Raw genomic sequence first — 25,523 nt, 5'->3', positions numbered from 1 at the left:
TGCTCATGAGGCAGGCTGGGCTTGGCACTGAAACACTTGACTTCCTTTTTATCTGTATCTCAATGGTGGCGGAAATAATCTCTGAACATCTGAAGGGAAAAAAGGCAATTATTGAAAAATCCTTCTAGAATGACTGGGCTTTTTGAATTCAATTTCTTTAACAAACACCCAAAAAGTAAGTTGGCAAAGATGAGAAGTTGTAGAAATTTTCTTCTTGACTTTGGCACTTCTGAAACTATATATATTCAGCTTCACTTTGCCCCTGAGTGTCTCTTTTCAGCCGCTTATGCCTGACTGGGAAGACAACGTCAGGAGGAGAAACCTGGAGCCCTGTCATAGTGGCACCAGCAGCATGGTTATTGCCATTTTTAAGGAGGGTTTTCTATGTCCCTGAAACTGTGCTGAGCATTTTGTACAATGAGAGCACTGAAGCTGAATGAATCCCTTTCAGGCGGCTCAGCCCATTTTACAGATCATGAAATTGAGGTTCAGCAAGGCTAAATATGTGCAGGCTTCCCAGTCTGTCTGGTTACAGTGCCTGTGCTCTTAATTACCCTCCTGTTCTGCTAGTCTACCAGTGGTGTGCTGGTGAATGTTTAACAACCAGCTTTCCGAAAACAAAAACAAAAACAACTAAACTCTGACTCGTAGCGTTTGCTTATTATTGTGGTGTAAATACTCCCACCACGGTTAATTTCAAGCTACTGATGTGATGTTGAGAAGTAAGGAAGAGATATGCAAGTGAGGTAGGAGGTGGGACTTTACTCTGGACCAGACTGAAGACTGGCTGAAAGAGGGAAGGGGCAAAAGCACCTTTCCAGAAGACACGCCCACCAGTGCCAGGTCAGTTGACCATTGCCACGGCAACTCCCAGAAGTTACCACCCTTTTTCATAGCAATGACCGGGAAGTTGCCATCCTTTTTCTAGACGTTTCTGAAAAACACGCCTCTTCATTTGCATGTAATTAAAATTGGGTATAACTATGACTGCAGACCTGACCCTAGGCTGCTACTTTCAACGCACTGTTTATGGGGTAGCCCTGCTCTGCAGGAGCGATCATGAGGCTGTAACACGGCTGCTGCCTTATTAAAGCTAAGGTTTCTTCTACCAGCAGCTTGCTCTTGAATTCTTTCCCGAGTGAAGCCAAGAATCTTCGTGGGCTAAGCCCCAGTTTTGGGGCTCACCTGCCCTGCATCACAAGGTCAGCTCTCATGCTGGTGTGATATCGACCCCATAAAGTTTCCTATGAACCATTTGTCTATTAATAAGCTCACCTTGCACTCCATTTTCTGATTTGTGCCCAGTATTGCAGCTCAGATTGCTTTTCCTAGTAGCCTCACTTTCACTCTCAGACTAAGTGTCAGATGCTACCACTATGGCCCTGTCTTCTGATTCATTCCCGGGGTATAAACATCCTACTAGTCTTTTGTCCGGCACCCCTGCAGGAAAGACCTTCACTCTGAGAACTGGACTTTCACAGAAACCATTTCAGAAAGACAACAACACCTCAGCCAGCTGCGGTGTTTGAGGGTGAGGTGTTCACTCATGAGGGTGTGTGGGGACATTTTCAAGAACTGAGTGCGCTGGTGAGTCGAGAGGTGAACTTTAAGCCCACTCAAACACTCCCACGTTGGAACCAACATGAGTGGGTGGAGAATGCACAAAGGGCTCTTAAAGTGGGTGAGAAATGACTTAGAGGAGCTGCCTGACTTCCGGGGTGGAGAAGAAGCCCCTCTCCAGGCTCAATAGGAACGGAGGCTCGGGAAGATGTTTAGGAGTTGCTATTCATCAGTGAGGGAAGAGATTGTGGGTAAGACTCCCTGGAGTGCAATTAGACCATATGGAAAACATTCTCATCTGTGTCCTGAGACTGCTCTTGAGAGAAGGTGGCAGAGTTGAATATATAATGAGGAGATGAACCAATGAGAAAGGGTGAAACCTGAATCTCAAGGGAGCCTCATGAGTTCGGTGGGAGACGATGGTGGCCAGGACTGGGGTGTGGGCAGTGCCCAGGGACAGTGGACGAGGAGGGGGAGTGCTGCTGAGGAGAGAGAAACCATCAAGGGTGAAACAGCTCTGGCTGTGGGAAGTGATGGCAAATCTGTATCCACTGCTGAACACCAGGCAGTTGGTACGGCAGGTTGAGAGAAGGGTGGTACTCAAGGCTTATTGAACACCCTGCATTAGGCTGGATACTTTATAGGTGGTGCTTTATTTTATCCTCATAAGAGTCCTTTCATGACAATGAAGCTGAGAACAGTTGCGACTGGTCACCCAGTTATATAACTGGTGTGGTTTGCAGTCAAGCCAGGATTTTCTGATTCCTCCTTGACCGCTGTCTGGTGTCACCGTATAGAAGCCATCACTTTCCTCCAAGCCCTCCCATTCTTTCCTCGCTGGGCTATTTCTTCTCTGTCTTCAAGCTCCTGGCTTTTGAAGCTACTATGTTTTGAGTTCTTAAGAAGCTAAAGCCATGACTAAAGGCTCTGCACCCAAAGTTTCATTAAATACACCCAACCATGCAGTTAGGTGAGTTCTCGCTATTCCTACCACCATTTTTCCCGGTAAAATTCTCATCTGCAGAGGGATAGAATCACTTGTCCAAGGTCACGCTGTGAATATATGGCAGAGCTGGGCTACGAACCATGATGGCATCCTGCCTGCTACTCTTCTGATGTGCTTAGGACCAACACGTTTCAAGACCTTCTGGGAAACAGCATTTGTGCAAGAGAAGAGTATGGTTTGATGGGGCCATTCTTTAAATGTTTTCCTGGTCCTGGCAGGCTGAGACAGGAGGATTGCTTGAGCCTGGGAGGTTGAGGCTGCAGTGAGCTATGATTACACCACTGCACTCCAGCCTGGGCAACAGAGCAAGACCTTGTCGCTAAAAAAAATAAAATAACTTTGTGGCCCAGAGCTCCGTGGATGCACATGGACAGACTCTTGTTTAATTGACAACCTAGGAAGCTCTTTTTTTTTTTTTTTTTTTATGTCTTTTTCTGGGGATTTTCCTGCTGACACAGAGAAGATGCCTTCATCTTTGCCCTTTAGAGAAAATGTATCAAGAAAATAACCGACAGTTGTTAATTTTCACATTCTAAATGCAAGGGTGAACGATTTAATTCCAGAGTTAGAAATAAGGCTCTAACTTCACATTTACAACCAGCAATGAGGTCCCAGGAAAACTGCATTTTTGTTTCCTAAGAAAGAGGCTACGTTGATGGGAAAAGGCTATATTGGAATGCTGTGTCCTTCTTCCACACCCATACGCCTCACAGGTTAAAATCCATCAACCGAGGTAAGATTTGGGTAAGTTACTTCATCCTGCTGGGCCTTGATTTTTTTTTTTTTTTCATGTATGAAGTAAGTGTGATAGAGAAGAGAGAAAATAATTCCTCCTTTTCTGGGTTATTATGAACCTTGAGTGAGAAAGTAAGGTGAACATGTGCAGAAAGCATGTTAAATGGTGATGTCAACCAGGTACAGTGTGGTAGTTAAGATGTAGATGCTGGTGTCTGACAGGCCAAGGGTCTGAAGGCCAGCTCTGCCATTTACTAATGGAGCAAGTTTGGAGAAGTGTTTTAGCCTTTCTTTCCCTTCCTTCCTTCCTTCCTTCCTTCCTTCCTTCCTTCCTTCCTTCCTTCCTTCCTTCCTTCCTTCCGTCTCTCCCTCCCTCCCTCTCTCCCTCTCTCCCTTTCTTCCTTTCTGTCTCTCTTCCTTTCTCTCCTTTCCCTCCCTCCCTCCCTCCCTTCCTTCCTTCCTCTCTGTCTTTTTTGAGACAGAGTCTCACTCTGTTGCCCAGGCTAGAGCACCATCATAGCTCATTGCAGCTTCAAACTCCTGGACTCAAGCAGTCCTCCCACTTCAGCCTTCCTAGTAGCTGGGACTACAGGTTACTCAGCTAATTTATTTTTGATACCTGACTAATTTATTTTTTATTTTTCTAAAGATGGGATCTAGCTATGTCACCTAGGCTGGTCTCAAATTCCTGGCCTCAAATTATTTTCCCACCTTGGCCTCCCAAAGTGCTAGGATTACAGGTGTGAGCCACTGCCTAGCCTGTTTTAGCTTTTCTGAGCCTCTGTTTCCTCATGTCTAAAAGAGAGATGTTAATGACACTGCATATAAGGTAGATGTGACGATGACGTGGGATAATACATGGAAAATGCTCAACACAGGGCCTGGTGTGTAGCAAACACTTAGTACATGGCAACTATTGTTGTAACAGGGACTACCTTGTCAGTAGTCCATCAAGTGGCTTCAGTAGGAGCCAAGAGGCAGTGAGGGTGGGGACGAGGAAGATGGGTTGGAATGTGGAGCAGGGGAGATCATTCCCCACTGGAGGAGTCCAGGAAGAGTCTGGGGGCTCATGTGGTTTGAGTTGGGTGCCAGGACAAGGAAAACGTTTCAAGAATGGCCCCATCAAAAGTTGAGGATGAAAGGAACCATACTGATAAGTTACGTTCCATGGACTCTTTGAGACACTTTTGTATATAAGACTTCCTGCTATTATAGAAAAACAAGGCCAGGCATTGTGGCTCACGTCTGTAATCTCAGCACTTTGGGAGGCTGAGGTGGGCAGATTACTTGAGGCCAGGAGTTCGAGACCAGCCTGGACAACTTGGTGAAACCCCGTCTCTACACAAAATACAAAAATTAGCATGGACATGGCCTGCACCTGTAATCCCAGTTACTGGGAGGTTGAATGAGGTAGGAGGATTGCTTGAGCCCAGGAGGCAGAAGTTGCAGTGAGCCATGATATCACCATCACACTCCAGCCTGGGCGACAGAGTGAGACCGTGCCAAAAAAAAAAAAAAAAAAAAAAAGGAAGAGAAAAACTAGTTACGGAAATGACAATACTTAATAGTATTTGCATGAAACAAAGAAAGAAATAGAGTGGTCATGAAATAAAAAATGCAGTGAAATTTAAAGAAATATTACATCTAGGTACATACTGCAGCTTTCTCCTTAATACTCATTGCTATTTACCCCAGCCTCAGGCTGATACTATCACAGACTGGAATTTAAAACTTACCTTGACTTAGGTTCCAGGACAATGTTTCTCAAAGGGTGGTCCAAGAACCACCTGCACTGAGCAAACTGAACTGGGATCTATGGGGTGAGGCAAGAACCTGCATTTGAAAGACACTTCTAGGTGAGCTCATGCACGAGAATGCCTGGGAACAATGTTCTGAATTTGTTCCTGAACGGGCATTATGGCGTGTGTTTCTCATGGCCATGCATATCTGAGTTCAGTGTGATTCTGTATTATCAAGGGGAAAGGGTGGAGGAGAAAGACAAACACAACCTCCTTAGAACAAGGCAAACAGATGAGCTCATAAAGCAAGGTGCTATGGGAAAGCACGAAAAGTGAGATGAATTCTGCCTCAAAGGACTTTAATGAGGATTAAAGAAGAAAGGTGGGTTTAGAGTGAGATTCACAGGATATTGAGGTCATGTGGTGTGGAAAAGGAGTCCGCAGAGGAAAGAAAAAGGAGGAATGGGTTATAAGACCTGGGCAAAAAGGAATGTGTAACCACCACAGTCTGCTCCACAGGCTGCAGAAATAGCTTGAGGAAGGGATGATGATAAAAACAGACAAACGTGGACCATGTTTTGGGAATCCAACCTGTGGCAGGAGCATTGCAAATATCAAAAATAGAGGGATAAAGCTGGAATTATGGACAGGAACAGTGAAGATCCTGAACACCACGCTGGTAATGGAAACATATTTGTTAAATACATGACATCAAATTTGCCATTTGAACCACTTTTAAGTGTCCAGCTCAGTGGCATTAAGCACATTCAGATGGTTGTGTAACCATCACCACCATCCATCTCAAACTCTGCACCCATTCAACATTGTTTCTCCTCCCAGGCCCTGGTAACCTTTATTTTACCTTCTGTCTCCATGAATTTGACTCTTCTAGATACCTCTTATAAGCAAGTTATACAATATTTGTCCTTTTGTGTCTGACTTACTTCATTTAGCATAATGTCTTGGGAAGTTTCATTCATGTAGCAAGTATCTGACTTTCCTTTATGTCTTTATTTTATTTTTTATTTTTATTTTTGAGATGGAATCTCGCTGTTGCCCAGGCTGGAGTGCAGTGGCACGATCTCAGCTCACTGCAACTTTTGCCTCCTGCTTTCGAGCAATTCCCCTGCCTCAGCCTCCTGAGTAGCTGGGACTACAGGCGTGTGCCACCGTGCCCAGCTATTTTTTTTTTTTTTTTTTGTATTTTTAGTAGAGATGGGGTTTCACCATGTTAGCCAGGATGGTCCCAATCTCCTGATCTCGTGATCTGCCTGCTTCGGCCTCCCAAAGTGCTGGGATTACAGGCGTGAGCCACCGTGCCCGGCCCAACTTTCCTTTATTTTTAAGGCTAAATAGTATTCCATTGTAGATGCATACAAAACATTTTTTAAATCCACTCACCCATTGACGGACATTTGGTTTCTCATTTAATATTTCTGAAACAAGGACTGTTGTGTCTGGGAATTGATGGAGGAAATAGGTATTGGGTAGGTTTTTTTGCTTTGTTTTGTTTTGTTTTTTTGAGACAGGGCCTCACTCTGTTGCCCATGCCGGAGTGCAGTGGAGCCATCTCAGCTCACTGCACCCTCCACCTCCGGGCTCAAGCAATCCTTACACCTCATCCTCCTGAGTAGCTGGGACTAGATGTGTGCCCTATCACTCCTGGGTAATTCAAAACACTTTTTTTTTTTTCTGTAGAGACAGGCTTTCACTACATCGTCCAGGCTGGTCTGGAACTCATGAGCTCAAGTGATCCTCCCAAAGGGGTAGGTATTTAGAATGAAGAAGGTAGTGCAAGGTCTTCTTTGTGGCCAGATGAGGACTCTGGGGTCTGGCTAACCAAAAGAGATAAATATCAACTAGTAATGAGTGCATGTCTGCTGTGTTGAAAAATATCCATGAGTGATTAGCTATGCCTTCCACACTCATGGAGGGAGGAGTGACACCTGCCAGGTATTTGCATTCCTGGTCTAAATTGTTTGGACTTGGGTTATCTTCATAGCTCTACTGCGGAAAGAGGCAGCATCTCTAACCCTTTAACCAGAGCCAAGGGAGGATCTTGGCAGTGTCAGAAGGGTCATTTCCAGCTTCAGATTATAGCTATGGCTTAAGAGGTATGAACAATTCAGCCTCCGCCCTTGGCAATATCTCGAACTGAAGGATCAATAGTTTTTTTATTTTGTTTTCTCTTTCCTCTGCTGAATCATCAGTGGTGAGAATGAAAAAGTGCTGGAATTCTTGATCTTAGGAATCCGGGTGAGTCCTTCTTCCAGAAAATCAGCACCTGCTGGTTGACTCAAAACTTGAAGTGAACTTTCCGGGACGGGATGCCTTTGAAAATCAGGGAGTGTGTCATTTGCGCCTGTTACTCCAAGCTATGTCGATTCATTCATTCATTTGTAACGGGCTTCCCCTATTTTTCTAGCAATTGTTCTCTCTTTTTCTGTGGTGACAGTGCTTTGCTTTTCCCCGGGGAAAGTGCTGCTCTTCTATTCCCTGCGGCCTCGGTGGGGCCTTCCATCAAGGTGTCCTGCCCAGTTCCAGCTCCCAGCCACAAAGATGGTTCCAGGATGAAGCCTGGCCAGTCAGAGATTTTTACATCCCTGGCCCCAGAGAGTGATTCAGGGAGAGAATCATGTCCCAAACATGTCCTTTGAGAGTTTACACCCACCCATGGAAAAGTAGGGATCTTTCACTTAGATCAGGGATTGGCAAATTTTTTTCTGTAAAGGGCCAGATGGTAAATATTTTAGGCTTTTTGGGCCATTCAGTCTCTGTTGCAGCTACTCAGTGCTGCCGCCTCTAGTGCAAAAGTATCCATAGACTATATAGATACTTCAATGAATGGGTGTGACTGTATTCCAATAAAACTTTATTTACAAAAATGAGCAGTGGGCCGCATTTGACCTATTGCCAATCCTTGTCTTAATTCTTGCCAATCTAGGACCCACCTCATGAAGACAGCCACCTTGAAATGAACTCAGGGGAAAACAGAACTAAAATTAAGAGAGAATGAGCTTGGACAACAGTCGCTGACTCCTGAATTTAGCAATGCTTGAAGGCAGCTGCCCCTTGGACAAGCCAGTTATGTCTTCCAACATTATCTTTTACTGCTGGTGGTAATTTGATATGGGTTCTTTCATTAAAGGGAGTCCTGGCTCATAGGGACCTTTTTGCTAAAACCTCCCTGGCTCATAGGGACCTTTCCAGCCATCTGCTCTGGGAGTCTTAAAATTGTAAAATGAACTGGGAAGGCCCATCAACAACCAAGCAGGAAAGAGAAGAGGGACTTTTCAAAATCTCAGTTCAGAGGCCTCCACTGAGCTTTCCCATTGGCCAGAAGCAGGGAGGCTGGTATTGTCCACCTATCCCCTGCCCCTACCAAAGTGCTATATACTCTTTCAACCATTTATTGAGCACCTAGTATTTGCCAAGCCATGTGCCTTGACCTAGAAGGAAGGGAAGAGTGGATACGTGTTCCATTGTACAGTACATGACCAGTGTGCGTGCTGTGGGCACCTGCATACCATATTTCATGCCATCCTTATAACAGCCCAAAGAAACAGGATCGTTATTTCCATCTTGCACATAAGAAATCATCAGCAATAGAGCTGAAGAGGGTTAAGTGAGTAGCTGGGACTGCAGGTGCATGCCACCACACCCAGCTAATTTTATTTTTATTTTTTGTAGGGATGGGGTTTCATCATGTTGCCCAGGCTGGTCTCAAACTCCTGAGTTCAAGTGATCCACCCGCCTCGGCCTGCCAAGGTGTTGGGATGACAAGTGTGAATCACTGAACCTAGCTGGAGTTTTTGTTATAGGATATTGTGTGGCAGAGCCTGGGACATGAGCTCGAGACCTGGGACTGAGGAGGAGAGAAAGGAAGAGAGAGGGAGGGAGGGAGGGAAGTCAGGGAGAGATACAGGGAGAGTGCAAAGAGAGATGCAAAGAATAGAAACAAAAAGAAAGGAGGCTTTCTTAGTGACTTTAACTGTGACATTCAACCCAAGAAAAGAAAGAAAATTAATGCCTTCAGTTTGGAGACTTTGACAGATTCCGTGCCAGAGCTTAAGCTGACTGAGAGGACGTTTGAACGCTCATGAAGAGCCCACCCACAGCCTCAAGATGCACTGGTCTTCAGAGTGCAATGACGTCTGCACTGGCATCTCATCCATGCTCCTCCAAGAGCTGAACCCATTAGCTTGGCCAATCTATTCCTTCCAGCAACAGCCTGAGAGCCAATGAATGACCTAGAAGGCAGACACCCTGGGGGTATAGCACGAGTCTTCACCAACCTATTCAGGGCATCCTGCCAGCTTTGGCTGTCCAGCAGTGCCTGCATGTTGAGGATATATTGACGCTCCACAGTCACAGCGTGGCATGATGGCCCCTGGCGTGACCGTCGTGCTTCCTTTGAATCAACATATTGGTGGTCTAACCATGACCTGTGTTGACACTATGGCCACACAGTAGCCTTAGAGGACACTCACAATGTAAGCAAGCGTGTATCAATACTTGGACAGAGGAGGGTGTGGTGTTTGTGTGTGCATAAAAAGTATGTGTTATTGTTGTTTTATAAAGGGAGTGCTGTTTTGGAGATTCTTCCATATTTGCAGTAATAAATCTATATCATTATTGCTAACTGGTTTTCTGTAGTTCTGTTGTAGCAATGGCACTTCAGCAAATACCTATGTATGAGTGTATATGTATGAATATTTCTCTAGATAATGAAAAAGGAAGGGATAATGCACTGAAGAGAGGCAAGGACATTGCCAGATTAATTTCTACATCTCTGCTTGAATCTTCTTGCTGTTCCTGCAAGCAGGGCAGGGGCTTTGATTGTGCTATTAAGAATTTTGCTAAAACCTCCATGGTAGCAGAATAATTATCGTAGGCAGAATAATGACCCCTCCCATCCCCAAAGATATCCATATCTTAGTTCCTGGAATCTGTGAACATATTGGGTTACGTGGCAAAGGGGGATTAAACTTGCAGATGGAATTAAGGTTGCTAATCAGCTGACACTGAGATGGAAAGATTATCCTGGATTATTGAGGTGAGTCTGTTGCAATCACAGGGGTTCTTATAAGAGGGGGAGAAAGAGAGAAAAGAAAGGGAGCCAGGAGACAAGAGCATGAGAAGGATTTAGTCTTTTCTTGAGAGGAAGGGGTCCTGAGCCAAGGAATGTAGGTGACCTCTAGAAGCAGAAAAGACATGGAAATGAATTCTTCCCTAGAGCCTCCAGAAGAAATGCAACCCTGCCAATATTTTGATTTCAGCCCAGTGAGATCAGTTTCAGATTCTACAATTGTAAGATCATAGATTTGAGTTCAGAAGCCTCGAAGTTTGTAGTAATTTGTTATAGCATCAACAGAAAGCAAATACAGTCCTTGTCCAAAAATATCCCTCATACCCCAGAGCACAGAGGAATCTATTTCTGAGAATGGTTTTATGGAACTCATAGGGTGGGAGGCTGGAGGAGGGTTAGCCCTCGAGTAAAGCTGCTAGGGGCACTGGAGCAGTATAGACTGTTAATATTTGCTGCAAGAGACTCGATTTTGACATTCCAGTCATGCTAGGACCACATGTGTATATATATATACATACACATATATATATATATTAGATGGAGTCTGTCTTTGTTGTCCAGGCTGGAGTGCAGTTGCATCATCTCAGCTCACTGCAAACTCTGCCCTCTGGGCTCAAGTGATTCTCCTGCCTCAACCTCTAGAGTGCTGGGATTACAGGTGCCCGCCGCCACACTCAGCTAATTTTTGTATTCTTAGTAAAGATGCGGTTTCATCATGTTGGCCAGACTGGTCTCAAACTCCTGACCTCAAGTATCTGCCTGCCTCGGCCTCCCATAGTGCTGGAATTACAGGTGTGAGCCACTGCACCCGTCCTGTTAATTGATAATGTTGCTACCTCCTTCCACTCCAAAGATGCCACTTGCAGACATGCATAAATAGTTTTCAGAGTCCACTCGTGAGACAAGGTTTTGATGGGGACACGAGGGACTCTTCTCAGACCACGCCTACTGCAGTGCCTGGATCAGGAAGAGCTTTGGGTTCTTCAGCGAATGAAGCATGCTTATGTACAAGGTCACCCTGGCCAAACCCTCATTTTCACGAGCAACCGCAAATGTCCTGTCTTATCAGGATCCCAGGGAGGGAATGAGCAATAATGGTATCAGTTTTACTCTTCACTGCTGCTTTGCAAAATCACCATTTCTTCTCACCTTGTCCTTCTCTCTCCTTGTCTTTCTGCCTTCCCCTCTGTTCTGCACAGCCAGCCTCTCCCATTCACTCTCAAAATTAAAAGGGACTAGCAAATGGCTAGGCAGTCTTGACACACTCTTGCAGCATCAAACACTCTGGTTGGTTTGGGGCTGCTTCTGCCAGAGGCAATCAGCCCTGAAAGTTCGAAACAGTTGTCTAACAGGAAGTTTCAGCCCTCACCATCTGTGGGCTTGGGCACTGCTGATGAGAATAATGTCAGGCAGCCTGTGTCATCTTCAGATTCAGCAGAAAAAGAAAACACAATAAAGATATTTTCATTTGCAGAAATAAAAAGAGATCAGCTCGGGGCTGTGAACTGGTGCAGCATCTGAGCAAATCTAACAAGATGAGTTCATCTTGAAGGAATAGAGGGAAGATATTTAAAGTGTTAGCTCTGAAGTTGGGTGAGAATCCTAGCTCCACCACATTGAGACTCTTACTTAAACTCTAATACTTCTTTTTCCCATCTGTGAAATGGGATATTCGGTCCTTAGCCCATAGCAGAGAGGAATCTATTTCTGAGAATAGTTTTATGGCCCTCCTGGGGTGAGAGGCTGGAGGAGGGTGAACCCTTGAGTAAAGCTGCTGGAGGCACCGGATCAGTATAGACTTTGTCAATATTTCCTGCAAAGAAACTCACAATGTTTGTAAGTAGGCACTGATTTTGAAAAGACCTATATATTCCACATTTTTTAGTTGAAGAAACTCTGGGTTTGTGACCCTGTGCAAATCGTTTTAATATCTCCATGCCTCACTTTTCTTAAACGTAAAAGGGAAGTATCACTGGTGCTTACCTCATACAATTGTGTGGATTTGGCCGGGAGCGGTGGCTTAAACGCCTGTAATCCCAGAACTTTGGGAGGCTGAGGCGGGCGGATCACAAGGTCAGGAGATTAAGACAATCTGGCCAACACGGTGAAACCCTGTCTCTACTAAAAATACAAAAACTAGCCAGGCGTGGTGGCGCATGCCTGTAATCCCAGCTACTGGGGAGGCTGAGGCAGGAGGATCACTTGAACCCAGGAGGCAGAGGTTGCGGTGAGCTGAGATTGGGCGCCACTGCACTCCAGCCTCCGTGACAGAGCAAGACTGTCTCAAAAAAAAAAAAAAAATTATGTGGATTTAATGAGTCAAGACAAGAGAAACACTTAGATTAGTGCCTGCCATACAGTATGTGCCCAATAAATTAGATATGGTGATGAGAGTGTCATCGGTACTCTTGCTTGCAAATGGCCACCCTGACTGGATTCAGCTAGGGCAAAAGGTGGTAGGTGTGTTATGGGCATAGTAACTCAGCTATGGACAGCAAGGAAATACAGCAAGAAACAGAGAGGTTCTTTCTCCTCCCACCTCTCAGCTTTCTTCTATATTCCTGCCAAGCATTTATTTTGTCTTTCTGAGAATGGCTTTCATTAGCCCCCATGGCCACCAAAAGGTAAAAATTAGACTTTTCCCAGGTTTTTCACCAGAGAGGGCAGAAACCTACTTCCAGCTCCAGGTGGAAAAATTCTGAGGAAGAGGAATGATTGGGTTGGCTCCTATCATGTTCCTGCCTCTTAGACCAATCACTGTGGCCAGGGTGGTGAGGTCCTGTGATTGGCTGAGTTTTAATCACATGACTGTTGGACGTCCTATAATTGGCTCAGTTTTAATCACATGACTAAGGTCCCAAGATGGGCTCAGATTCAATCACATGACTTCTTGGGGATAGTATGTATGGTTGATATGAAAGAAAGAGCATTTCCCCAAAGAATCGACATGCGGGGCAGACAGAGGAATGGATGTGTGTTATAGTAAAAGAAGAGCCCAGCGTATTTTCTAGCATGCAGCAGGATCTCAGTAGATCAGCCTTCATCTGTTAGACCCAGCCTCAAGAGTCCTTCTCTATAAAATGGGCATCTCCTATTACTACTAGTAAGGATGAAATAACATACTTTAGTACCTAGTACTGCAGAAGAGTATTAGGTGCTTTGTAAATTTCTTTGTCCTTACCCTTTCTGTAGCTACAGATGTAGAAGACCACCGTATAAATAACTCAAATTATACACTGCTGGTGGGCATGTAAATTAGTTCGGCTGCTGTGGAAGGCAGTTTGGAGATTTCTCAAAGAACTAAAAACAGAGCTACCGTTGGATTCAAGAATCCTGTTACTGGGTATATACCCACAGGATCACAAATCATCTTGCCAAAAAGACAACGTATATTCTTGCCAAAAAGACACATATTCTCGTATGTTCATCACAGCGTTATTCACAACAGCAAAGATGTGGAATCAACCTAGAGGTCCATCAGTGGTGGGCTGGATAAAGAAAACGTGGTGCACATACACCATGGAATACCATGCAGCCATGAAAAAACGAAATCATGCCTTTTGCAGCAACATGGATGCAGCCGGAGGTCATTATCCCAAACAAATCAATGCAGAAACAGAAAATCAAATACCACATGCTCTCACTTATAAGTGGAAACTGAACATTGGGTGCACATGGACATAAAGATGAGAATGACAGACACTGGGGACTACCAGAGTGGGGAGGGATGGAGGGGGTAAATGTTGACAAACTAGGTTGGGTCCTATCTATGCTCATTACCTGGGTGACAAATTCAGCCATACCCCAAACCTCAGCATCATACAATATACCCAGATAACGAACTTGCACATGGACACCCTGAAACTAAATTAAAAAGTAAAAAAGAAAAAATACCCAAAGCTTCTTGAGGAAATCTGCTTGAGAGCTGCCTCCCTGCACGACCCCAGAAACTCCAAAGCAAATGTAAGTTGAGAAACACTGCACTTATCACTTAGTAATTAGGCCGTGATTGTTGTTTATCTGGGCGCTGTACTGTAACTCCCTCTGCCTGAGGCTGGTGCTGGAGCTCGGAAAATACAATTTCCTCCAAACTAATTTAGTTTTAAGAGGAAAATGAAAGTTTAAAGTAGTTTAATGTTTCAGCAAAACCATAATGGCTGGGGAAGATTGGACGATGTGAACCAATAAAGCACCCTAATTCTGATAATAACTCAAGGCTTAACTCTTCCCACATCAAAACCTATCCTGAAGCTGACACTTGGCACAGGACAACATGGTTTCAGCCGATGGTTGAGCAGTCATTCTTCTTTATTTATTTTAATTTATTTATTTTTAATCAACAGCATCACTTTTGACTTTAGTAGAGCCGTAGAGACACAGCTGTTAATATCATTTATGGAGCCCTGTAGTTACACCTTTAGAGACAACCTCAGGATTTATTCGTTTCCATTTGCAAGTTTTCCCCAGACCTAGGGTTCTCAGGAGGAGTCCCATCCTTGGGCTGAACATGTAAGATCGTTGTTAAAAATCCCTGAGTCAAAACATTAATTCTAAAACTTGAAACCTCTGAGAGTCCCAGTTTCTCATGTACAAAATAGGCAGAAAGAGAAGGACTTTGTAGGGTTGTTGTTAGAATTAAATTGGGTAGTGATATAAGGCACTTGGCCAATAAGACTGAAGTGGTGGGGGTGAGGAGAGAGAGAGAAAGAGAGAGAGAGAGAGGGGAGAGCAGGAGGGAGAACTAAGAACACAGCATCCATTCTTTTGCTGCACATTTTTATGCTTTTTTCAACTTTTGTTTTAGATTCAGGGGGTATATATGCAGGTTTTGTTTGTTTGTTTTTAACCTGGTGTATTGTGTGATGCTGAGGTTTGGTGTGTGATTGAATCCATAACCCAGGTAGTAAGCACTGTATCCAATAGTTAGTTTTTCAATCCTTGTTCCCCACCTGCTCTCCCTGCTCCAGTGGTCTGCGGTGGCTATTGTTCTCATGTTTATAACCATGAGTACTCAATATTTAGCTCCCACTTATAAGTCAAAACATTTGGTATTTGGTTTTCTGTTTTTGTGTTAATTCGCTTAGGATAATTGCCTACACCTACATCCATATTGCTGCAAAAGGCACGATTTTTCTCTTTTTTATGGCTGCATAGTATCCCATGGTGCACATTTTCTTTATCCAGCCCATCATGGATGGGCCCCTAGGTTGATTTCCTTGCTATTGTGTATTGTCTTTCCTATTGTGAATAGTGCTTTGATGACCATGTGAGTGCATGTGTCTGTTTGGTGGAATGATTTATTTTCCTTTGGGTATATACCCAGTAATGGGGTTGCTGGGCTGAATGGTTGTTCTGTGTTAAGTTCCTTGAGAACTCTCCAAGCTGCTTTCCAAAGGGGCTGAACAAAATTACATGTTCATCAACAGAGGTTTAGCGTTCCCTTTTCTCCGCAGCCCCACCGGCATCTGTGTTTTTTGACTTTTTAGTAATAGCCATTATGATTGGTGTGAGTTGATATATCATTGTGGTTTTGATTTTTTGCCCCACTTCTTGAGTACCTACTCTGTGGCTGGCATTATCACGGCACCTGAGGATCCATGAAGCCACAGAACATGGAACCAGACTCAAGGAGTTTCCAGTCTCACTGGGGATATAAGCAAACAATCAGAGGATCTCAGTCCTTCAGTGCTGTAGCGTTCTCATTTCTAAAGTGGGAATAATCCTGGAACCAGTTTCCAAGGGTTGTTGGTGGATTCAACATGTCAAGCTTTTAGAAGAGGCTCTGGCATATAATTAGTGCTCAGGGCATATTGGCTGGCTTTTTATTTTCTTACAGGAAAGCAATTAATTAACAGAAAATATTTTCAGGAGCCCTCAAAGGGGGGCAACCACGGTGACCCCCCTTCCTGGGAGTGCTGTCAGAGGGGAAATGGAGTGACATCTTCAATCTGCCGGATCTTCATACCTGAGCAGGCAAGGGGCTCTGAGGGACATCTGGGCCCCAGGTCTAGGGGACTTGTTCCTGTTTCCTCCTGTGGCCCAGAGTTTGATGTGTAGGGCAGTGATGCCCAGCTCCTTGCACCTCTGGGCCACATCCTGGGTGGCCAGCATGGCAGCTTATGGTAAGGTTTCATCTGGGTCTGCCTTCACCTACATCCCACCAGTAACACGGCAGAGCGTTTCTTTGACAGAAAGATCTAAAAGAACAAAAATCATGCCCTTTGCAGCAAATGGATGCAGCTGGAAGCTGCATCTTCCAGCCATGGACAAAAGTGACATGGACCAAAGTGTCAGTGAAGGATGCAAAAATTTGGCAGACACCAAATACATTCTCTCCTACACCCACCCAAGGTCCAAGGCTGATGACCTGTTCTTCCTTCTTTTCCTTCCCCTTTTGAGGTGCCATTTCTACATGTCGTCTCCCGCTTGCTGGTTTTTAAGACTGACAGTTTGCAAATGCTCCACATTTGTAAGGGTGACCTAGAACTGGCAAACGTCTTAGATGGCGACTCTCCAGTTCATGGGTCTGGCAGTGTTCAGCATTCAGAATTTCCTTATATAACAATGCTTGCATCGCTGATCTTGGTTTTTTGTTTTTTAAGTTTATTTATGCATTGATACTGAGAAAAGCTTCCTTGTGATGATGTGACAAAACTGATTATTATCATACTTAAAGTATAAAACTTCCGCTTCCCCCAGTTAATCACTGTTCTGGTTTCTTTCACCATGTATTAATTTTGCCTCTTTTAGAATTTAATGTAAATGGGATCATGGAGTATGCCTTTTTTTGAGAAAGGCTGATCCCCAGCGAGGCATCTTTGAGGTTCACTGTGTTATGTGACATGCATTACATGTATCCACCTTTTTATTGCCAAATATTATTCCTTCCTTCCTCGGGGAGAGTGCTGCTGATCTTGGGTTTGAGGGCCTGGGAATCCACGCCTCTGAACTCTGCTGACCCTCCTAACAGCTCTCGACTCCACTTGGTGGCAGAGAGGTATGAGAGAGGAGGTGTGGGGCTTTGGTTCTTGCAGACCTGAGTGAATCTTGGCTCTGCTACTCACTAGTTGTGTGACTTATCATGTTATTAATATATAATCCATGACCATCCTCAGTTTTTTCACCTGTGAAATGAGCAGGCTGGTACTTACTGTATGGGTCATTGTCAAGAGTAAGTGAAATAATTCCCACTGTGGCTACTCAAGTCCAAACTTCTATTATCTTTTGCTGGGGCAACTACCATGGTTTTTATGCTTCCTCCTTTGTGCCTTATTATCAGTCTATTGCCCATACAGTATTTATAGCAATGATTAGTAATGTAGATTAGATCCCATGTTTCTTCTCAAAAACTTCCAATGACTTCCCATCACATAATTGATTGATTGATTGATTGACAGGGTCTTGCTCTGCCACCCAGGCTGGAATGCAGTGGTGCAATCACAGGTCGCTGCAGCCTTGAACTTCTGGGCTCAAGTGATCCTCCCATCTAAGCCTCCTGAGTATCTGGGACCACAGGCATGCACCACCATGCTTGGCTAAGTAAAGAACATTGCTTTTTTTTTTTTTTTTTTTTTTTTTTAAGGGACAGGGTCTCACTATGTTGCCCAGGCTGGTCTTAAACTCCCGGTCTCAAGTGATCCTCCTGCCTTGGCCGCCCAAAGTGCTGGGACTAGAGGCATGAGCAACTGCACTCAGTCCCCATTGCATTTAAATAATATCCAAGCTCTTTACCTTGGCCTGCCAGGCCCTTCATCATCTGGCCCGTGCCCTGCTCTCCAACCATATTTCCCGACTCTTCTTCACCATGATCTTCCAGCTGCATTGACCTCCCTTCTGTTCTTTAAAGCTTTGAGGCTGCTTCCAACCTCAGGGTGTCACTCCTGCATAGAATCCATATCCCCTAGATCTTTGTAAGATTAGCTTCTTATTATCATCTGGTGTCAGGTCAAATGTCTCCTCTTCAGTTTAAATGTCACCTCTTGCCTGACCAGGCTAAACTTGACCCCTTCTCCTGTTTTAGTCAATTTCCTTCTCTAGTTACCCAATTTTATTTTCTTCATTGTTGTCATCATTAACAGATCCATCTGTTTATGGGTTTACCATCTCCTTCTATCACATAAGTTCCATAAGGACAGAGGTCTTGCCTGGGGTATTCACTTCTGTATCCTCAATACGTAAAAGAGTGCCTGGCATATAGTCGATGCTTAACCAATATTTGTAGAATACATGAACGAAGTGATGTCTTCAAGGTGTTTAACAGCAAAAACAAAACACAATAGTTGGCTTTCCTATGTTGACTACTGTGGTTTAGTTTTATTTATGTACAAATTTAAAGTGTTTCAGTGTTTATTTAGGGAGTCATCCAGACATTCCAACTACTTAGCTCCTTAACAGGCTTGCATGGCTTCTGAATGGCTCTCTCCCTTCTTGCCACTTCCCTAGAGAGCTCCTTGCTTCTTGGTGGCTTCCATCACCTATCTTGTCTCTTAAAATTGTGGGTGTTTTGATATTTGGTTTCTATGGCATTTCATGAAAGCTCATACAGAGAACAGATATAAGGACATTAGATCTGCCACTCCACTGCCACTCTTGGAGGGAGATCCGAGTCTGGATCGCTTTGAATTGTTTGTTGTTTGCATAATGGCTCTCCTTTGTTCTCTGCTAATTGTATTAGAGTACCTTGATTAAACAAATGTGCCTTCAGGCAGTGGAGCCGGTTATAGCACCTCTGTTTACTAAGCTTTCCATGGAAAAAGGCGAAGCATGCGTGCTTCCAGTGTTAAAAATACACATTTAGTTGTTTTAAGCCACGGTCAGTTTGGGAATTTCACTTCTCTCAGGACAAAGGTGAAGTTCAAAGAAGCAAGTTGTGTTTCCCTTTAAGGTTATCATTGTGATTGGAGGGGAGTGAATTGAGGAAGTTGTTGCATAACCTCACAATTATGTTTGGTCTGTGATTCACACTTATGGGAAGGTAATAGGCAGCCAATAAAATCTTCTAAGATTATGACAGTTGAATGGTCTCTGCCTTGATTTATGTCTGACCAGGACGCTGATGACTATAACTATATGGTAGGATAGGTCTTAGCACCCACCTGACCTTTGTAGCTTTGCTTCCTGTCATTTGTCCTGATATGCTCAGTGTTTCAGCCAATTAACTTTTATATATACATAAGGGGTCTTCAGAAAGTTCATGGAAATGTGAATTTTCCATGCATAGTGAAAAAACTATGCTTGGATTTCTGTTTCTTTTTTCCACCAAAATAAACTTGTTTTAACTTGTTACAGTATGTCTGAAGTCAATCTAGTTTTAGACACTCAGAAGGACAAGACATTCGTTTGAAAAGAGCCCCTCCCTGAGAAACATAAATTCTGCTATAATTGAAGCAAGAACAAACATCAAATTTATGTTGAGACTTGAGTGGAAGAATGGTGAGATGCTTCATGAAAAGTTTATGGGGACAATGCCCCCAGGAAATCAGCAGTTTACAAATGGATAACTGGTTGTAAGAAGATATGAGATGATGTTGAAGATGAAGCCCACAGTGGCAGACCATCCACATCAATCTGCGAGGAAAAAATTAATCTCGTTCATGCCCTAATTGAAAAGAATCAATCATTAACCACAGAAACAATAGCCAACACCACAGGCATCTCAATTGGTTCAGCATACACAATTCTGACTCAAAAATTAAAATTGTCCCAGCTACTTGGGAGGCTGAGGCAGAAGAATGGCATGAACCCGGGAGGCGCAGCTTGCAGTGAGCTGAGATCGCGCCACTGCACTCCAGCCTGGGCAACAGAGCGAGACTCCATCTCAAAAAAAAAAAAAAAGAATTAAAAATTAAGATTGGGAGCCATGAGCACTGGCTCACACCTCTAATCCCAGCATTTTGGGAAGCCAACTTGGGCAGATCACGAGGTCAAGAGATCCAGACCATCCTGACCAACATGGTGAAACCCTGTCTCTACTAAAAATACAAAAATTAGCTGGGCATGGTGGTGTAAGCCTGTAGTTCCAGCTACTTGGGAGGCTGAGGCAGGAGAATCTCTTGAACTAGGGAGGCAGGGGTTGCACCACTGCATTCCATCCTAGTCACAGAGTGAGACTCCATCTCAAAAAAAAAAAAGAAAAATTGAGCAAACTTTCTACTTGATGGGTGCCAAAACTGTTGTGTCCAGATTTGTTGCAGATAAGAGGTTTCAATGAAAATTTTAAACAAATAGGATCAAGATCCTAAAGCATTTCTCAAAGAACTGTAACAGGACCTGAAACATGACTTTATCAGTATGATCCTGAAGATAAAACACAATCAAAGCAATGGCTACCAAGAGGTGGAAGTGGTCCAGTCAAAGTAAAAGTGGACTGGTCAAGAGCAAAGGTCAAGGCAATACTTTTTTGAGATGCTCAAGACATTTTGCTTGTTGACTTTTTGGAGGGTCAATGAATGATAATATCTGCTTAGTATGAGAGTGTTTTGAGAAAGTTAGCCAAAGCTTTAGCAGGAAATCACCTGAGAAACCTTCACCAGAAATTTCTTCTCTATCATGACAATGCTGCTGCTCATTCTTCTCATCAAACAAAGGCAATTTTGCAAGTGTTTTGTTGGGAAATCCTTAGACATCTCCCTTATAGCCCTGATTTGGCTACTTCGGACTTCTTTTTATTTCCTAATCTTAAAATATCTTTAAAGGGCACTCGTTTTTTTCCAGTTAATAGTATAAAAAAGACTACATTGAGATGGTTGAATTCCCAGGACTCTCAGTTCTTTAGGGATGGACTAATGGCTGGTATCATTGCTTACAAAAGTGTCCTGAACTTGATGGAAATTCTGTTGAGAAATAAAGTTTATATTTTCATTTTTATCCTTCTTTGTTTTGTTTTATTTTTGTTTTTTTTGAAACAGAGTCTCACTCTGTCACCCAGGCTGGAGTGCAGTGGCATGATCTCGGCTCACTGCAACCTCTGCCTCCTGGGTTCAAATGATTCTCCTGCCTCAGTCTCCCAAGTAGCTGGGATTACAGGTGCCTGCCACCATGACTGGCTATATTTTTGTATTTTTAGTAGAGACAGGGTTTCACCATGTTGGCCAGGCTGGTCTTGAACTCCTGGCTTTAAGCAATCCTCTTCCCTTGGCCTCCCAAAGTGCTGGGATTACAGATATGAGCCAATGTGCCCGGCCCATTTTTATCTTTTAATTCCACTTTTACATGAACTTTTTGAAGCCCGCGCGTGTGTGTGTGTGTGTGTGCATGCGTGTGTCCTAAAATATCTAAATTCCAGAGAAAAAATCTTCCTCTTTTATGTGTGCTTTAATCATGTGGTATCATTTCTGTCCTCAATGTATTTTCCCCTTATTTCACCTTCAAAACATACTCCAAGATCAGGCTCAAATTTCATCGCCTTTACCAAGTCTTCCCGGATTGTCCAGAGGTAGTTCCTTGCTGTATTAGTCTGTTCTTGCATTGCTCTAAAGAAATACCTGATACTGGGTAATGTATAAAGAAAAGAGGTTTAATTATACAGACTGTATAGGAAGCATAGCTGGGGAGGCCTCAGGAAACTTACAATCATAGTGGATGGTGAAGGGGAAGCAGGAACATCTTACAAGTCTGGAGCAGGGGGAAGGGAGCAGGGTAGGTGCTACACACTCCTAAACAACCACTTAAACAACAATCTTTGGCCACAGGCTGAAGGCTGCATGGTCGGCTTCCCTGGTTTTGAGGCTTTTTGACTCGGATTGAGCACTACTGGCTTCTTTCTTCCCCATCTTGCAGATAGCCTATCATGGGACTTTGCCTTATGATTGTGTGAGTCACTTCTCCCTAATAAATTCCCTTTCATATATACATATATCCTATGAGTTCTGTCCCTCTGGAGATTCCTGACTGATGCAGGCTTCTTGGGAATCACTTTCTTTTTCCTTGTGTATCTCCCTGTGGACTCTTCAGCATGGTGGCTCCAGGGCAGCAAGGCTTCTTATAGGGCAGCTCAGGGCTCCAAAGAAGTGTGGGTGGAGGGAGGGGTGCAGGGCTGTATCTCCTTTCACGACCGAGCTTCAGAAGTCATGCAGCCTCACTCTGTCACATTCTATTTATTGTGATGGTCCCAAAGGCCTTAATTCAAGGAAGGGGGCATAGACTCCATCTCTTGATGGGAGATTAACAAAGTTCTGTAGTAGCACATGACGCCAGAAGCATTGCTGCCGATGATGGATTATGGAAATACAATCTTAGTTTGCCTTCTGGTCATGATCATTCACAGTCCTTCCACTTGCAAAATACACTCAACCCCTCCTCTAAAGCACCTTGATGCCATATCATTTTATGCTATCAATCTTGGGCTTGAGGTCCAGTATCTTGTTATCAAAGTTCAGGTGTGAATGAAGCTTCCTGACTGTCTCACTAACACACCACGGTGAGACAGGCACAGATCGTTATAGACACTCGCATTCAAAACATGGGAAAATAGCAGTCACATAGCATTCATTGGTGCATAGGCATTTTGAAATGCAGCTGAGTACGTGTTGCTAGTTCTTTAATTACTATTTAGCTCTATTTCCTGGGAATAATTCTCTATGCAATGGAATCCTGGTTCACCTTTTGAATTATCCTTCCTTCTCTATAAAACAGCTCGTGTTTGCAGCCAAATAGTTTTTTTTTTTTTCCAGTCTGATTCCTATCCATAGTACTTTTTGGAGGGAATGTCTAAAGACTTCCTTTTGCTTTGTGTGAGCTCTGTCCAGAAAAATAGGCTGGCAGAACATCACCAGCTTCAACTACGAAGCTGGTGATGTTTTTGCCAACATAATTTTCTTAACAACTTTGAAGATTTTTAGTGAATCTTATTTGGGTTCACTCAATTAGCTAAAATCAATACCCACAAATCTTGTTGATAAAAGCGATTCTCTACCTTGGGCTCCCTGGAAAGCTGCTGTGAAACGTTGCCCTAATTGTTATGAGTTTAATGAAGTTCAGTGAGGAATGTCTGAGAGGCATACCTGTAAGATCCTTAGAGGACCTTTTGTTTGCTGAAAGGGTCTGTGAGGTACCACCTTAAATTTTTCTAAAGCCTGAAGAAAGGGTGTCATAGTTCTACTCTGGATTTGATTTTTGTTCTAAGATCATTTCTTAATGTAAGAAAAAAAATTTTTTTTTCATGTGGAGAGGCTAGAAATGAGAAACAACTTTATTTTCAAACCCATCAGTCCAAGATCTTTCACACTTTCTTTAAATTTGGTTGAAAATCAAACAGTTCATTTTTCAAGTCATGTTTCTCCATGCTTATCTTTTATTGATTGATTGATTGACTGATTGAGACAGGGTCTCACTCTGTTGCCCAGGTTGGAGTGCAACAGCACGATCTCGGCTCACTGCAACCTCCACCTCCTGGGTTTGAGTGATTCTCCTGCCTCAGACTCCTAAATAGCTGGGATTACAGGTGCATGCCACCACGCCTGGCTAACTTTTTTGTATTTTTAGTAGAGACAGGGTTTCACCATGTTGGCCAGGCTGGTCTCGAACTCCTGACCTCAAATGATCTGCCTGCCTTGGACTACCAAAGTTCTGAGATTACAGGTGTTAGTCCCCATGCCTGTCCTCCATCCTTATCTGCTAAAAGAAAAGAAACTAGTATCAACAGTCTGTCTGGAATTCTAATCTCTTCATCCAAATTAATCAGTTAATTCTGTATATTTTCTATTTTCCACTTCAGCACAGGTGACAGTGGTGCTAAACCTTTCATAATTACATACCAAGGATCATGACATTTTTCTGACTTTACTAAGCCCTCACCAACAGCCTCCTCCAGGGCCATCAAGCCTCTGCTAACAGATTTCTCAAAGCCTTTGTAATGTGTACACACACCCATCTCAAAGCCATCTCAAAGCAGTTTAGGTTTTGTTATGGCAGCCTCCCACTTCCAGAGACCAAAGTCTGTTTCTGTTATCTGTTACTAAACGGTAACTCCTCACTTAATGTCATTGATAGGTTCTTGTAAACAGCAACCTCAAGTGAAATGACATAAGAAGAAACCAATTTTTACCATAGGCTAATTGATAGAAAAAAGAGTTAAATTACTGCAGCATATTTCTGGTCACAAAAACATCACCAAACTCCTAAATAAAGACCCAGAATGCTTCTAAAATCTTGACATAAGTGTGAGCTATATATGTATTTAAGAAAGATTGATAAAAACAAGTGAGAGAATTATTTATCCATTTTTTTTGGTTGTTTTTTGAGATGGAGTCTCACTGTCACCCAGTCTGGAGTGCAGTGGTGCGATCTTGGCTCACTCCTCCCGAGTAGCTGGGATTACAGGCGTGCACCACCACACCCGGCTAATTTTTGTATTTTTAGTAGAGATGGGGTTTCACCATGTTGGCCAGGCTGGTCTCGAACTACTGGCCTCAAGTGATCTGCCCACCTTGGCCTCCCAAAGTGCTGGGATTACAGGCATGAGTCATCATGAGCCTATTTATTCAATTTTTGGTTAATCTGTGAGTGATAGCTGTTGTAGTGTTGGTGGGTTAAATCAAGGAATCAAGGAATAAGTGTTTGCAAAGTGAAAAATTGAAAGGAGCACCTCTTGCCACCACACAGTTAAAAAACAATCACAAGCCAGGTGCAGTGGCTGACGCCTGTAATCCCAACACTTTGGGAGGCGGAGGCAGGCAGATCACCTGAGGTCGGGAGTTCGAGACCAGCCTGATCATCATGGAGAAACCTTGCCTCTACTAAAAATAGAAAATTAGCCAGGCATGGTGGCAGATGCCTGTAATCCCAGCTACTCGGGAAGCTGAGGCAGGAGAATCGCTTGAACCTGGGAAGCAGAGGTTGAGGTGAGCTGAGATCGTGCCATTGCACTCTAGCCTGGGAAACAAGAGCGATACTCTGTCTCAATTTTAAAAAAAATTACAAATAATGGCGGGCTTGCAGAGTGCTATTTTACTGCATCGTTTATTGTCATGCATTTGTATGATTATCATATACTTTATGAATTTTTTACAATAATTTATATTCATTCATTTTTCTAAACTTCTCATTCCTGTTCAGGGTCTCTAGTGGCTGGAGCCCCTCCTGGAAGCTCACAGTTCAAGGCAGAAAGCAGTCCTGGACAGGACCAATCCCATCATTGCCAGGTGCACTCACATACTCCCCTATAGCCACTCAGACTGGGACCCCACAGACACACCAATGAGCCTAATGTGTACATCTTTGGGATGTTGGAGTAACCTGGCGTTCCCAGAGAAAATCTATAACAGACATGGGGAGAAGGTGCAGACTCCATACAGACGATGCCCCTGGCTGAGAAAGGATTCTTTTTCTCACCAACGTTATAATGAAATGACATTGAATGAAATGATGTTATTCAAGGAGTTGCTGTATAATAGAA

General features: G+C 43.6%; 1 pseudogene, besides 3 other annotated features; it reads right to left on the bottom strand.

Annotated features, from left to right (window-relative positions):
* Nucleotides 6,819–8,018: an enhancer, noted in NCBI's record as "CDK7 strongly-dependent group 2 enhancer chr16:8566588-8567787 (GRCh37/hg19 assembly coordinates)". NCBI's record gives its function as "activates an origin of replication core promoter dependent on BRD2, BRD4, P300/CBP, MED14 and CDK7 cofactors, with strong dependence on CDK7, by STARR-seq in HCT116 cells {active_cell/tissue: HCT116}" and the evidence as "EXISTENCE:reporter gene assay evidence [ECO:0000049][PMID:35650434]".
* Nucleotides 15,960–16,552, bottom strand: LOC100131080 (ribosomal protein S14 pseudogene; annotated as a pseudogene).
* Nucleotides 18,253–18,771: an enhancer, noted in NCBI's record as "OCT4-NANOG hESC enhancer chr16:8555835-8556353 (GRCh37/hg19 assembly coordinates)". NCBI's record gives its function as "activates a minimal SCP1, AML or CMV promoter by ChIP-STARR-seq in naive and primed H9 embryonic stem cells {active_cell/tissue: H9 hESC(naive and primed)}" and the evidence as "EXISTENCE:reporter gene assay evidence [ECO:0000049][PMID:30033119]".
* Nucleotides 18,772–19,291: an enhancer, noted in NCBI's record as "OCT4-NANOG hESC enhancer chr16:8555315-8555834 (GRCh37/hg19 assembly coordinates)". NCBI's record gives its function as "activates a minimal SCP1, AML or CMV promoter by ChIP-STARR-seq in naive and primed H9 embryonic stem cells {active_cell/tissue: H9 hESC(naive and primed)}" and the evidence as "EXISTENCE:reporter gene assay evidence [ECO:0000049][PMID:30033119]".

The sequence above is a fragment of the Homo sapiens genome, chromosome 16 (assembly GCF_000001405.40).
Source record: "Homo sapiens chromosome 16, GRCh38.p14 Primary Assembly".
Lineage (NCBI taxonomy): Eukaryota > Metazoa > Chordata > Mammalia > Primates > Hominidae > Homo > Homo sapiens.
This window is presented reverse-complemented; position numbering and strand designations above follow the sequence as displayed.